A 16,384-nucleotide genomic window follows, 5' to 3' on the forward strand; every position below is an offset into this window, starting at 1 on the left:
CATTCTCCTGCCTCAACCTCCCGAGTAGCTGGGATTACAGGAGGCCGCCACCACACCCAACTAATTTTTGTATTTTTAGTAGAGACGGTTTCACCATGTTGGCCAGGCTGGTCTTGAACTCCTCACCTCAGGTGATCTGCCCGTCTCAGCCTCCCAAAACGCTGGGATTATAGGTGTGAGCCTCCGTGCCTGGCCTTTCCAAAAGTTTTGAATAGCTATATCCTTCACTCCTTCGTGTGATTTCAACAACTGCTAAATACAGTGGTGACTTCCCTCCAAAAAAATTGTCCCCTAAAAGAAAGTAAAAAATAAGAGGGCTGCATGATCAATTTCTCCAATTTCATTATGATTTTGGTTCCTGTTTATGCTCGAATAACTTTCTCAGATTATAAATCCTCAAAAAGAACTCAGTCAATTTTAGGTTTTGGGGGTTTCTTTATTTTTTAGATACTGGCCCAGGAGTTAAATCAGCTTTGGCTCAGAGGAACCAATTGAATTGAATCAACTGAATAATTGAATAAACATTGAAACAGCACTCCAGAAGCAATTCCTATCCATACTGATGTCTAAAGAACAATGAAAAAGCATCTATAGAAAGAAATACAAGTACTGGAGCTAAAAATTTCCACATACAAATGAAACTGGGATTTACTCTGCACTGTACACAAAACCAGAGCCTGGGTCATCAAATACTTTTTAAATACCTTCAAATATTGAAACACAATGCAGGAACCTACTTAATTCATTTTAAAAAGCAAATAAATGAATATAGAGACTTACATCAAGGTTAAACATTCAGCTGTTGTTCAGTTCCAGTGAACCAAAGAAGTGTACACTGAATTTAAAATAAAATGAAGACACATAATATATGAGGTACTGAAGTGCTCTTTACATTTGCAGAGCTAGCTTATGCTTCCAGACAAGTTCAGACATACATGTACATGGATACACACATACTTGTGTATATGCGCATGCATTTATACATATGTGTAATATATGTATATATATTCACACACACACACATTTCCTAACCAAAAAGGAAAGGCTTATTGTTTTCATGTTGAGCCTTTGAAATAAGACATTAGCACTGAGCAAGTGGAGAAATCAGAGTGGAAGTAGCCATCATTCAACATTACTCCCAGATCCTTGCCACTCAAAATGTTGTCTCTGGCTCAGCAGCAACAGTATCATCTGGCACCTAGTTAGAACCACCCCACACCTCTCAGAACAGAACCCAAGTTTTTACCAGATTGCCTAATTTATGTGTCCAAATTAAAGTTTGAGAAGTGCTGCCCTGGATATGTGCTGTCCATTACCAAAGTTACTAGCCACATGTATCTGTTCAGCTATTGAAATGTACTTATTGAGACTGAGAGATTGCATTGTAAAAATTTAATGAATTAAAATTTAAAAACTCATACTCAATTCAGTTATTGGAATACTTTTCAATACGTTTGAAACAACTTAGGTACACGAATCTAAATATAGATAAGTATTTCTGGTGAAAATATAGCATCCAAATTAAGAAGTAAGCATAAAATACACACCAGATTTCAAAGACTTAGTATAAAAACATTTACGTAAAACATGTCATTGAAAATTTTATGATTACAGGTTAAAATGATAAAATTTCAGATATGTTGGGTTACATTAAATATGTTCTTAAAATTCATGTGCTTGTCTTTTACTTTTCAAATGTGACTACTAGGAAACTGCAGCTCACATTCTATTTCTACTGGACAGCATTCCTTTCGATCCATGGTTCTCAAATGTAAAATTAGTGCCTGGCTCCCACTCCCAGATATTCTGGTAAAATTGGTCTGGGGTTGAACTGAGCATTGGGATTTTTAAACTCTTCCTGGTGATTCCATTGAGCTTCCAAAGTTTGAGAACCACCACCCTGGATTAATAACAGATTCATTAATTCTGACTAATAAATAATGGCCTCATAAAGTCTTTATATCTTTTGGGAACTCCCATCATTCTTCAACTAAAATATAGAGCTGGGAAAGTAGTACCATTTCTTAAGATCAAAAGGCTGGAAGTTTGGGTGATATTATTCTCCTTCAACTTCAGGCAGAGTTAAATATACCCAACCAGATGAAAATCAATGTTCTTTAATATCTTCAGAAACTGGCCACCAGTTATTTCAGCAGTTCATTTCTATATCTAATGTAGTGGATCTTAGACTTCTGTGCATTTAGAATAATCTCCTTGATAGTTTGTTCAAAAGCAGATTGCTGGGCCTTAGTGAGTCACAGGAGTTCTGTGGTAGGGTGACCAAGTGTCCTGATTTGCCTGGGACTTTTCTGGGAATTGCTCGGTCCTGGGCAAAGAGGGGCAGTGGATCACCCTAACCCAGGGAAGTGCATTACTAACAAGCAGTCCAGGTGTTACTTCTGAGCACAGTTTGAGAACTACTTCTAGAAACACAGGCTCTCAAATACTTTTTCAGTGATACTCTTTCTGGATTAACCAACTGTCCTAGGAACACAACCAACGAAGTTATACAAATAACCAGTTCAGCAAACAACTGATTGTGGAAATTGTTCTAATATAATTAAGCATGTCATCAAATTGCTTTAAAGTGTATGAAAGAACTATAAAGAGATCACCCTGATAGCCTTGATGAGAACAATTCCATTGTCAGAAATTTAGCAGATTGAGACCAGGGAGGCAAAGTAAGTATGTGGCTTGAAGTCATGTCAACACTGAGTTTGAATCACAGCTTCTGCCATTTGCTAGCTGTGTAACTTTCAGGAAGTTCCTCAACCTCTCTGGATCTCAGTGTTTTCATCTATAAAAGATGAATAATTTATACTTACACTGAAGGCTAAGGATGAGAATGAGAAATAATGCACTACATCAGATGAATCCCAGCTGAGGGACATTCTACAACATACCTGACCAGCACTCTTCAAAGCTGTCAAGGTCATCAAAAAGAGGGAAAGTCTGAGAAATTGTCACAGCCAAGAAGAGCCCAAAGAGACATGATAATCAAATGTAATGTGGAATCCTAGATGAGATCCTGAACCAGAAAATGTATATTAGATAAAAACTAAGGAAATCTGAATAAATCTTGGGTGTTGGTTAATATTATTGTATCAAAATTGGTTTATTTCTTGTGACAAATGTACCATACTAATATAAGGTGTCAATAAAAGAACAAAATGGGGGTAGGGTGAATGGAAACTCTCTGTATATCTCTGTGACTTTTCTATAAATCTAAAACTATTCTGAATTTAAAAGCTTACTACCCCCAAAAAAGTGTCTAGCATAGTAGTGTCCAGGCCAGAAGTACACAGTTAACAATTGTTGTTACTAATTTTGTGAATTGTACATTAGAAATGATGCTAACAAGAAGAACATCATCTTGATTCAACATCTTTAGGAGGAACTATGAGCTTGAAACACTTGGACATCAGAGTTGAGAGAAGAGGACAAAAGGCAAGATGAATGGGCATGAAGACCCTCAACCATGTTACTTCTGATTGGCTTTCTTTCTGGCATTATTCAAATTCTGTACTTATTTTATTCATTCATCTGTTCTCTGCTTTGAGCCCAACGTCTCCTATCTCTGCCCCAGAATATAAGCTCCTTGGAGGCAGAGACTTTGTCTTTGTCACTTCTTTATCCACCATACCCAACACAGCACCTAACATAGCATGGAAATTTTATCTGAATTTACTACACTGAATGAAACGATTCCATTGGACATCAAAGGGCAGAGGCAAACACTCTGGACTGGATCCAGAGTCCTTTTTATACATGTTTTCTTCTCCTAGCTTCCTCGTAGCTCCCCACCTTTCAAAAAAAGAAAAGCAAACAAATACCAACCCCACTCTACTGACCAAGTAATTTACTTTAGGGAAAGAAAAGACTTCAACATTTGGGTCCAGATTTGCTCTCTTACGTTCTAGCTTACATTTGCAAATATGGGTGACATGGCTGAAACAGAAATGTCTTGGTAATTACTTGTGCTATATCACACCTCGTGTTTTCTAGTCAATTTAAGCCTCACAAAAATTTTGTTACATAAGCAGGGCAGATGCTTTTACCTCCACTATAACAAGAGATATAAAATATAAAGCTTTATATAAAAGAGATATAAAATTTTTATATGAAAAGATTATTTTTATAAAAAGATGTTTTTTAAAAGAAGGAAGGAATTTAAGGTGGCATCATCGTTTACCCAGCTAATTCACAGGGGATTATATTATTCTTCCGGGGCTGCCATAAAAAAAATCCCACAGACAGTGATTTAAAAAACAGACTTGAATTCTCTCACAGTTCTGGAGGCTGAAAGTCCAAGATCAAGGTGCAAGTGGTTTTGGTTTCTGGTGAGCCCTCTTTCCTCAGATCACTGTGCTCTCCATGGTCCTTTGGGTATGGAGAGAGCGAGTTACAAGCCCTGGTGTCTATTCCTCTTATAAGGACACCAGTCCTCACCAGTCCTATCAGATTAGGGCCCCACTCTTAATGACCTGATTTGACCTTAATTACCTCTTTAAAGGCCCTATCTCCAATACAGTCACATTAAGGGTGAGGCCTTTCAACATATGAATTTGGGGGAACACAATCCAGCCTATCACCAGAATGTTCTCTGACAACAGGCAGAAGGGTTACCAGGATGAGCAAGGAGGAGCTAACACTTATGGAACAGGGAGGAACTAACCATTAAACCAGGGGTCAGAAAACTATGGCCTTTGGGCCAAAGTTGAGGGCCACCTTCAGGTTGTAAATAAACTTTCATTGGAGCACAGCCACATCCATTCATTTACACATTGTCTGTGGCTGCTTTCATGTAGAGTTCAGTAGTTGCCATGGAGTCTATGGCCTACAAAGCCCAAAATATTTACTCTCTGGCCCTTCACAGAATAAATGTTCTGACTCCTGAGTTAGATCAATATATGAGTGTTCATTTTCTCCATGACATAATGCCATAAAGTCAGTGTTCCTGTCACTTCACCAATGAAGCAGTGGAGGCTCTGAGAGATGACGTGATATCCACATCACACAGCTGACAGTCAGAGAGCCCAGAGTTGGAGCTCTACGACTCCAAAGGGTGCCCTTTCCAGGGCACCTCATCTCTGGGCCCAGGGCTTTTCTCCTAGGCTCGGAATGGTGTGTGGATATGGCTGCCAGCCTGTGGCCTAGGTAAGTCATCCCATCTGCACAATGGCTTCCTACAATCCTCTCAGCCTCGAAGATCAAGAACAATTGTCATTCAGACCAGAATGTCCCATGGTTTCCATTCACACCTTATCAGCAGTTGACTATAGCTATTTTTGGCCCTCGGTTTCTTGAAATTTTATTTTGTTTTGGTTTATGTTTTATGTTGCGGCATGTGTTTTATATGACTAAGATTGACTTAGAAAGCAGATCATTTGCATTAGGGAGCCTTGCAAATAATATGTAGACCTTAAGAGGTTTCTAGGGATAATTTTGGGACTTTTAGCCCCAAATGCAATTGTTGGTACTTTTCATTATTAAACAGAATGTTTCCTTTTCATTTCAGCATTCAATATTGAACTCCTGGTGCTTTCCTTATTGTAGGAATAAAAGAAGCAAGTGAATACAACTCAGGTTCCTCTTTATGGACATTTGTCAATAGAAAACAGTTCCAAGATCCTCTTTGAATTAGTAGAGGCATTTCCCAAATTATTTACACAAGAATCCAGAGCTTTTTCATTAGGCCTATGTTAGAATCTAAGGAAGCAAAACAGCAATTGGGATTAATTTTACTATTGGCTAATGGATTACTTCCTGTTTCCAGCTTGTTGATCTTCCTGTCCATACAGACAAATGATTTGCCTGGAGATTCATGCTGCTTTTGTCTGTTCAGCATCATTTCCTCTGAGGAACATCCTCTCCCCCATTTCAGGTGGTCCCAGGTGGGCTGTCAATCACAACACACCAGACCTAGCCAATCATATTGCCTCACCTCCCCAGACACAGTAATTGATTCAGGGGAAAGAATGTGACCCAGTCAGAGCAAATTCCCCCAAATGTTAAAGAAGTTAGGAGAGAGGCCTTCAAACTAAGTGGCATCAGGCCAAGAGATAGAGGCAGAATGACTGGATCCAGCCCTTCCTGAGGCTTTACCCACCCCAGACTTCCTAAGAGTGTGATCCCAAAATTTCTTTTTCTGCTTAAGTTAACTCAAGCTGGACTTCTCACTCAAAATCCAAAATGTGCTCACTAATATAACATGCTTCCAGGTTTTCTGAGTGTCCCTCAGAAACATGTGTCAGCAACTTCCAGAGGACATAGGGCACTGAGCATTGGGATCCATGGGTCCTTATCTTAGCTGCAATCTTAGAGCCCTTAGGTCATCCCTATGCCAAGTTGGAGGGCTTTTGAAATGGAGAGCCTGTTACACAGGGGATGCAACATGATTTCATGGATATATTTATGTCTTATGCACAAAAGTGCATTCTAGACTTGCTTTTTAAGTTCCATATCTCTTTGTCCCCTTTGGCCCTTCCTGGAGTGGAAGCAGGACAAATTCTTGTGCTGATGACACTTTTTTTTTTGAGATGGAGTCTCGCTCTGTCACCCAGGCTGGAGTACAGAGGTGCTATCTCAGCTCACTGCAACCTCCACCTCCTGGGTTCAAGCGAGTCTCCTACCTCAGCCTCCCGAGTAGCTGGGATTACAGGTGCATGCCACCACGCCTGGCTAATTTTTTTTTTTTTTTTTTTAGTAGAGATGGGATTTCACCATTTTGCCCAGGCTGATCTTGAACTCCTGACCTCAGGTGATCTGCCCACCTCAGCCTCCCAAAGTGCTGGGATTGCGGGCATGAGCCACCACACCCGGCTGCTGATGACACTTTATTGGCAATCTTGGGAAGGGAAAAAAGACCAAGTAGAAGTAGCAACGGGACCCCTAACATTGATATTGCCTGATGACTGGGCTGGCCAAAGTCTGGTGCCAGGACCCCTATCCTACCAGTGGTTCCAGACACCACCGAGGGAATCTGGAAGGAGAAATAAAGCCCACAACACGCCACCAAGTGGCTGCAATATTACTCTTGCAGTGAAGATACTTTTTTTTTCCTCCTTTGTTTCCATAGGGTACTTTTCTAAACCTGTCCAAAGTCCCTCTCACTAGATTCCTTAACTGTCACTTAAAGTGTTATCTATGACTCAGAATTTCCTAACATAAATTCTATAACCTCCCTCCTTTCCTCAGGAAAGTTACCAACTGAGGCCTACTCACACCAAAACTCTGATCCTAGTGGCTGTGAGATGTCTGAATGCTGTTTAAACTGTGCACTTACATGTGTTTGCAGGTAGTGATAAATAAGAACTCTTCTTTGTTGTCGTGCTTATTCACAGTTTAACTTGGCTTCCTCTGCTTCAGACAGAAGGGAACTGAAGTAAATTCTTAAGACACACAAGGAAAGAAAGTTCTTTGCGCTGAAGGCGGTTCGCCAAGGTGCTAATTCCATCTTTGGTAGGTTTCTCCCAGGACTGTGTTCCTCATCCAGGAATTTCCCTGAGCTTGATGGGTCACACGTCCAAATTCCAGCTTTGAATAAATAAACCAACTAAAGTGCTCAGTTGCCTCAGGGATTAGCAGAGCAGTTCACGAACTTCCATCGCCCCCCAGTGGCAATTAGTTGGATCTTTTTGTTAGGGATTTTCTTATGCTTAAAATTTAGGTTATCGTTCTCCCCTCCAAAGTTGTTTTAAGTTTTTGTTTGTTTGTTTGTTTAATTCTCACACTGAAGATTATAAAGTCTTTGTGTGGAGGTATGTTGGTAATGTCAAATTAATGGCTTCTGGGTCACCAGGTCATAGACGGATAAGATGTAGTATCTGCTTTCATGGTTCTAAGTAAAAGACTGATTTTCAACCTGGTCTCTATTCTGAGGCTCCATCCTGAGAGAAGGTGAAAATAAGCAGCACTAAATCACTAAATCCAGAAAGGACTCTCAGTGGGTGGCATCAAGGTAACCTAGAGAGCCAGTTAGCCTTGGTTGCATATAGATGAGAACTCAGCCACCCACAGTGATAGTATCTACTCTGAAAACAAGATATAGGCTATGTGAGATTCCAAAAATAAAAAGCAGAAACTGTGTTGAGGGAGAAAGCTTATATACATATGAAGTAGCCAAGAAACACTTTTCTAGCATAATAAATTCATAAATTCATGCAACATACAGTCAATGATTTTTGATAGCTAGCATAAAGTACTTCACCTTGTTTTATAGAAAAAGAAGAAGTGGAATTTAGGAAAGTTTAGACTGAAGAGGCTTATCTTCAACTCAAAAAAGGGAAGGTTCTTGCCTCCCTGCCCACAGTGGAGTTAGTACTTAAGCTTATTTTTCAGATCATAGTAAATTCCTTTGGTTCACCACCTGCCATGCTCCACCCCCACACCCCTTTTAAATTTAAAACCAGGTTTGTAGTCCTTTAAATAATACTGACCCAGTTCTAAATTCCTACACACCAAACAGTCCTGCCAATGCTAAATCCTGAGTAGAAGTGTTTGTCCTTCAGCTTCCTTTACTCAGAATTTGTCTCCTTTCCAGCCAGAACATTCTCCTTCCCTGGCCACCCCTCTCCCCTTGGCTTTGGAAGGCAAACTTTACCTAATCTGTTTTGTTTAAGAATCCTAAATCTTAGTGGTTTAAGGGCCTCAGTATTAGTACACACAAGCACACATATATAAATTTAAGAACAAAGAATGTTTTATTATCAGCTCATTGTATTTTGTATAATATTTGTTTAATAAATTCACCCTTAAAGTATAAGCCTCTGTCAGTTAGGCCTGGCCTCCCCATCTCCTGGACCCCAAGGTCTTATTCACTTGAATCTCCCAGTCCATGGTCCATGGAATATCAAGTTTCCCTGAGTTATATGTTACTCCTCAGGGACTTAGGCTCCTATGGTCACTTCTGCCTCTGGACTCCTCTCTCTGCTTGTGCTGGCTCAGTTTACATTGACCTAGAGGGGAAACTCTGCCCCTTTATCATCTTCTATGAAAACCCATTCACTAAATTACTTGCTGATTTTGTAAAACACTCATAACAAAATAGAGATATATGGATACTTCTTAAACATGACAAAAAACTTTATGCCAATCTAAAAGTTCGCAAAATGCTTAATGGATAGACACTAGACACTTTTCCACAAAAATTAGGAATGTCTACTGCCACTTTTATTTAACGTTTTGCTGGAAAGTCTTAGCCTATGCAGGAGAAAGAAATTAGAGGCATGAGGCCAGGCGCAGGGGCTCACGCCTGTAATCCCAGCACTTTGAGAGGCCGAGGTGGGCGGATCGCCTGAGGTCAGGAGTTTGAGACCAGCCTGGCCAACATGGTGAAACCCCATCTCTACTGAAAAAAAAAAAAAAAATACAAAAATTAGCCGGGCATGGTGGCAGGTGCCTGTAATCCTACCTACTTGGGAGGCTGAGGTAGGAGGATCACTTGAACTTGGGAGGTGGAGGTTGCAGCGAGCCGAGATCATGCCATTGCACTCCAGCCTGGGCAACAAGAGCGAGACTTCGTCTCAAAAAAAAAAAAAAAAAAACAAAAGAAATTAGAGGCATTAAAGTTGGACGGGAGGAAGTAAAATCATTATTAGTTGAGATTATATGAAATAATCCCTGGAAAATCCAAAATAAACACACAAACATTAAGACTAAAGACAAGAGAATCCAAAACATAGGAGAGTATAAAATGGATGTAGTCATTGGAGCTTGTCTTTAGTCCATTTTGTGTTACTACAACAAAATACCTGAGGCTGGGTAGTTTATAAAGAAAAGAGGTTTGTTTGGCTTAGAGTTCTATAGGCTGTTCAAGAAGCATGGAACCGGCATCTTCTCAGCTTCTGGTGAGGGCTTTCATGTTGAGTCAGCAGAGAAAGTCAAAGGCAAACCAGGCACATGTGAAGAGAGAGTAAACATGAGGGGGATCCTCACTTTGTAACAATCCTGCTCTTGCCGGAACCAATCCATTCCCGAGAATTAATCCAGTCTTGTGAGAGTGAGAACCCACTACCATTAGAAAGTCACCAAGTCATTCATGAAGGATTTACCCCATGACCCAGACATCTTCCATTAGGCCCCAGCTCCCAGCACTGCCACACTGCAGATCAAATTTCAAAATTAGCTTTGATGGGGACAAACAAGTCATATTCATACCATAGCACAGCTATACCTTATTCCTTTCACCAGGATAAGTTTCAAATATATAAATGGTTTAAAGGAAAAAGTGTAATTTTTTTAATTGAAGAAACTTGGGAGAATTTAGGACTTAAAATATTTTTAATTATGCCACAACATCCAGAAATCATAGAAGATTATAAAATTAAGATCCATAAAAACTACTCAAAGCAAAACTTAGCAGAAGCAAAAACAAAAAAAGATAATTTTAGAAAATATTCCAACCTCATAGTGTAGAAGAAAGGTTAATTTCCTTATAAAGAATGTCTACAAATCAATTTTTAAAAAAAGCAATACACTGTGTTGATGAAGGTGTGGAAAAACAGGCACTCTCATCCACTCCTGAGGGAAGCTACAAGGGGTACAACCACCTATCTCGGGTCATTTAGAAGTGACTATCAAAGTTTTAAAAGCACATTCCCTTTGACCCAGTCATTTTAATTCTAGGTATTACAAAGATATGCTCACACAGTGTGAGAAATGATGTAAGCACAATATTACTCATTGTAGTATTGTCGTAATAGGAAAGTATTGGATATAACATCAATTTAGTTGATTAGTAAGGGACCAGTTACATAAACTGTATTAATCTATATGATGGAATAGTGTACATGTCCTAAATAAAAACAAAATGGAACACTGTATGTACTGATATGAAAATTTACATTTTAATTCTTGAATCTGTTAAATAAAAAGAAAGATGGATATGGAAAACCTCCAAGATATTTTAGGTGAAGAACAACAGTTAAATCCCTATATAAAGTATGCTACTACTTGTGTTTTAAAAATGGGGTCCCTCAAAGCACATTTCTTGGAAAACTGCATTTCATGTGGTGGTGGTAGAGGATGGTTTGTCAACTTGTCTTTTGCGGGTTTAATCTTTCAATCCCACTTTACAATGAGTCCAAACCACTCAAAGAGCCTTCCCTTCCTTCCTTTAAAGCTACTCATGCCTTGCCTTATTGATTTTCCTTCCATTACTCCTATTTTCTCCAAGTCATTAATTCACAATGTTTAGAATAAAAAAATAAGACTGCCAAGGAGGAAGAAATTTAGGTTGGCTAGTGATGCATTCTCTTCCTAATAGGAAAGCCAAACTAAAGTCGCAAAGTTCTTTGGTAAATTTGGAATGAGAGCAAAGAAAACCAAAGCCTTGAAGGATTTTACCATCCATTCTTATGTCTTAACATCCAACCAAACCTGATAATTTACATTTCTTTATCTGCAACCAGCTCTTTCCTGAGTTCTAATTCTGTGTTCTGAACCGCTTCTGGGATTTCACTGCCTAGATAACCATTATCATCTCAAGTGCAATGTGTCTAACCTGAACTCATCTTGCCCCTAACCCTAAATATTTCTCAAAATCAGCAGCCATTTTTTTACTCCTGTCTTCTTATTTACTTCACCTTAGCTTTCTCTTTATGCAGTAAGGTGGTAATTTCAAACAACTGTAATCTACCATGCTCCTCCTTTTTAAAAGAATAATATGTCAGAAGGTCTTTGGTTACAGTTTATGCTTTAAAAATTGGAGGGCAAATCCAATACCCACTGGAAATTTCATTAACATAACCCCGTGGTTTCCCCATTTCTCTCTACCATTGGTAACCAAATCCACTACTAATTATTTCCATAGGGAAGAAAACATGAAATTCCTCACTCCTCTAGGCAAGACTATACTGATATCTCTCCTGCCTGTGTGGGTGGTGATTCACATGGCTCTCCAGAGCTCCTCCCCAAAGCAATGTTCACTTCACCCATTCTTACCAGTGCTATTCCCATCTTTTTTGGCACATCATGTTAAATCTAGTGACTCATAAAGGCCCACTTGTGGCAACAACTGGATCAGCAACTTAATCATAATAACTTCAATAATAATAACAGTTTTCACCACTCGAAAATAGCGAGTCCCCGCCCCCATTTCTGCTTCTGAATGATTGTGTGTGTTGGTTTGGGGTAGGTAGAAAGAAGGGGCAATGAGTTAAATAGTCCCAGTGTAGTTACATAATGCACACTACATGCCAGTATGTTTGCATGTGTGTATATATACATATATTGAGCAAGCTGAGAAAGTAGAAGCCCATGCTCTAGCTGCCAGGTATCAAGCAGAGGAAGTTTCTGGCCTTTGGTTTTCCAAGAATAGGGTCCCTCCACTTTAATATTATTGACATTTGGGGCCAGATAATTCTTTGTTACTAGAGTTGGCCTTTGCCTTGTAGGATGCTTAGCAGAATGCCAGACTTCTATCCACTTGATTTCAGTAGCAACCACTACCCTCAGTGTGACAATCAAAAATGTCTCCAGATATTGTCAAATACCCCCAGGATAGGGACAGCAAAATCAGCTTTAGTTGAGAAGCACCGCCATAGAGGGAATCAGGGCCCTGTCTCCTATCAAATCTCATACCTGCTGAATTTCCCAGCATGAGAAGAGGCTGGGCAACCTCCCTGTTGGCATTCACCAAAGAATAGCCTTAAGTTTTCTGAATTGACCTAATTGCAGGCCCATTAGTGCCCACTCAGACCACCTTGGCAGGTATCAAGGAAAGTCCAGTCTTAAATAAGTACAGCTATAAATTAAAGAAACTTTCTCAAAAAGCAATGCCCTGCATGCATCTGGAGACATGAAACAAAGGTTCCATAAGAAACTGGGAGTGTACATCTGGAGACATGAAACAAGGGTTCCTATAAGAAACCGGGAGTGATTCCTCATATAAGGTAGTCATCCACAATCAGTGAATTAATTAATTCAATTTTTCTTTTGAGACAGATTTTCACTCTGTCACCCAAGCTGGAGTGCAATGGCATGGTCTCGGCTCACTGAAACCTCTGCCTCCCGAGTTCAAGAGATGTTCCCGCCTCAGCCTCCCAAGTAGCTGGGGCTACAGGTGTGTGCCACCACACCCAGCTAATTGTTGTATTTTTAGTAGAGATGGGGTTTCACTATGTTGGCCAGGCTGGTCTTGAACTCCTGACCTCGTGATCTGTCCGCCTTGGCCTCCCAAAGTGCTGGGATTATAGGCATGAGCCACTGCGCCTGGCCAATTAATTCAATTTTTAGAGGTCTATGTGAAGAAACCCTCGACTCTCATCAAAACACAAAAAAGCTTGGGACTTACCAACTAATAATAATATATCCTCTAAAGTTATTACAATGGTTGTGAGAATATTAAACAGAATGATAACCTCTGGCCATCTCTAATTTTATTGGCAATAAATCCCTTTAAGGAAAAGTAGTGTTTATTTCCAAGAGCAAGAGGTAACCCTGGCCTTTGATGTAGACACGGTCCCTCTGAGTACACATGTGATGAATGCTGGCAGACTCCATGGAACACAGACCTATTGGTGGGGGGTCTACTGGCTATGTCTTAGGAACTTACCTTCATTCATTTAGGCCTTAGCAAAGATCACAGTCTATGAAGTTCATGGGCAGTGCTGGCACAGAACCAAGTGAAGGTCTCCAGGCATAACTAGAAAGTGGTGAAGAGCAAAGTTGAGAAAAACAAGCTATCTCTATTGTCAGATCAAATAATTCTTCTTTTTAAAAACCCTTCCATGGCTTCACATTTCAATTAAAAGAAAATGTCACTTCCTCCTCATGGCCTATGGCATGATCCAGCCCCAACATCACCTCCTACTATTCTGCCCCCAACTCATTCTGTGTGGGCCACACTGGTCTTTCCCTGTTCTTTCTGATCTCAGAACATTTTACCATGGCATTCTCATTGTCTGGACCACTCTTTGCATTGATCTTCACATGGCTGGGTCCTTCTCAACATTCAGGTCTCAGCTAAAACGTCACCCTTCTCAGAGAGGTCTTTGCTGACAACCATATCTGAGAAGGTATCCTGAGCTCTCAATCTGTATCGTGCACACTGATCATCTGGGGATCATGTTACAAGACAGACTTTGACTCAGTGGTTCTGGGGAGGGACTTGAAATTCTGCATTTCTAACAAGCTCCCGAGGAATACAAATTTTCTGCTCCACAGATCATCTACCCACAGGGGTGGGTAGACCCCCATGCCTCAATCTTTGTCACACTACCTGTGTCATTTAATTGGTGGCTTTTATCAGGATCTTAAATTATTTATTTATCTGTTTGTGTTGGATTGTTTGTTGTCCAATCTATTCATTTACTAGAATGTAAATTCCCTGAGAGCAAGGAGTCTGTCTAGCACTTTTAAATTCTCAGCACTTCCCACAGTACCTGACACATCATAGGTGCTCCATAAATATTGCTGAATGAGTGAAACATCACTCATTCAAGATTCATTGACTCTGTGATCCCTTCCAGTGTCTGCTTCTGACTGCTTCAGTGAGCACTCAATTATACAACAGAAACTACACTGTAATGATAGGGCAGTGCTACCCAAGTGCCAGTCCAGAAACTGCTAGTTATTGGCCAACACTGAATTAAGAATCTTGTACTATAATATAAATCTGCTATGCCACTAAGCACAATTTTATCTGAGATGAGACATTTTTCATAGTAAGACTTTCTGGATGAGGCAAGCAATGCTTTGCCTTGCCTTGTGGTGAAAGCTCCTCATCTCATATTAGAAGGGTAACAGTGTGTGAACTGGTCCCCACTGGCAAGACACATTTTGAGTTGTGCTGATATAGCGGATATAAAGCCAAATAAGATCTATTTTTTAACTTCAGAAAATCCATACATAGGTAAGAGAATTACACATTCAAATACATAACTGCAAATCTTTTGTCAAGTGCTATAATACGGAATTAAGTGGAAGAACTCAGGAATTGTAGAAAAAAACAAATAATTGGTCTTTTGTGCTCCCCCTTAGTCACACCTTTCCTGACACCTGCTCTCATTATAACCACAAACCCTCCCACCATACCCCTTCCTCCTGATCACATACCACTCATCTGGGCATGTTCTTCCCCTTGGGCCCTGAAACACTGAAGTTACAGGACCAGGCTTGGGTCTTCTGAGAAATTGTGAAAGGGAACTGAGAATTGTGGTAGAGAACAGAAAATGATAGGAGAGATAGGGAATTGTGGGAGAAGGGAGAATTGCGGGAGAGAATAAAGTATCATGAGAGAACAGAGAATTGTGAGAGACAATGTGGAATTGGGAGACAGACTAGGCAGCTGTGAAAGAGAACAGAATATTGTGTAATAAGGGAGAAGTGCAAGAGTGGAGAATTGTGAGACAGAGCAAAGAATTGTAGGAGATACGAGGAATTATGGGAAAGACAAGGAATTATGGGAAAGAACAGAGACTTGTAGGTGAGACAGGGAATTGTGGGAGATAATAAAGAAAGGGGGAAGACATCAGGAATTGTAGGAAAAAACAGAGAATTGTGGGAGTGACACAAAATTGTGGACACACGGGGAATTGTGGGAGAGAAGGGAGAATTATGAAAGAGAAGAGATTATTGTGGGAGAGATGGGAAATTGTGTAAGAGAATAGAGTATTGTGAGAGAACAGAATGATGAGGGAGACTAAGGAGTTAGGGGAGAGACTACAGAATTGCAAATGAGGATGGAGAATTTTAAGAGAATGGAGGACTGTGAGTGAAAGTGAAGAATTATCAGAGAGAAGAAAGAATTAGGAGAGAGATGTGGAATTATGAGAAAGACAGGAAATTGTAGCATATGACACAGAATTGTGGGAGAGAGCAGAATTGTGGGAGAGACATAGATTTGTGGAGAGGACAGCACAAAGAATTGTGGGAGAGACACAGGATTGTGGGAGAGAACAAAAAATTGTGGAAGAGACACAAAATTGTGGGAGAAAAGGGACACTTGTGGGATAGAAAATTGTGAACGAGAATATTGTGAGAAAACAGAATTATGAGAGAGAATGGGAGTTAGGGGAGAGACTGGGGAATTGTGAACAATCATGGAGTATTTTGAGGGAATGGAGAATTGTAAGAGTGGAGAATTCTGCGAAAGAACAAAGAATTGTGGGGGAGATGGGGAATTATAGGAAAGATAGGAAATTGTAGCATAGAATACAGAATTATGGTTGAGATAAGGAATTGTGGGAGAGAACAGAGAATTGTGAGAGGAAACCAAAAATTGTGGGGAGAAACATGGAATTATGGGAGACACAGGGAATTGTGGGAGAACAGAGAACTCAGGGAGAGACAGGAAATTGGGGGAGAGAACAGAGAGTTCTGGGAGATACAGGGAACCATGGGAGAGAATACAGTGTTGTGGGAGAGACGGAATAATTATGAG

General features: G+C 40.1%; 1 long non-coding RNA gene across 3 annotated transcripts in view, besides 1 other annotated feature; it reads right to left on the reverse strand.

Moving 5' to 3' along the window:
* Window positions 1-16,384, reverse strand: part of HCCS-DT (HCCS divergent transcript) — a 263,596-nt gene that overhangs the window by 245,803 nt on the left and 1,409 nt on the right. For 2 of the 3 annotated variants that reach the window (NR_186561.1, NR_186563.1), the window contains exon 2: window positions 13,556-13,645. This is a non-coding gene — a long non-coding RNA (HCCS divergent transcript). Of the gene's footprint in view, window positions 1-7,285; window positions 7,890-13,555; window positions 13,646-16,384 lie in introns of all 3 variants that reach the window. The other variant, NR_186562.1, reaches the window with a different exon arrangement.
* Window positions 9,759-9,958: an enhancer, noted in NCBI's record as "active region_29409". NCBI's record gives its function as "activates an Ori minimal core promoter by ATAC-STARR-seq in GM12878 lymphoblastoid cells {active_cell/tissue: GM12878}" and the evidence as "EXISTENCE:reporter gene assay evidence [ECO:0000049][PMID:35858748]".

This window comes from Homo sapiens, chromosome X, assembly GCF_000001405.40.
Source record: "Homo sapiens chromosome X, GRCh38.p14 Primary Assembly".
Lineage (NCBI taxonomy): Eukaryota > Metazoa > Chordata > Mammalia > Primates > Hominidae > Homo > Homo sapiens.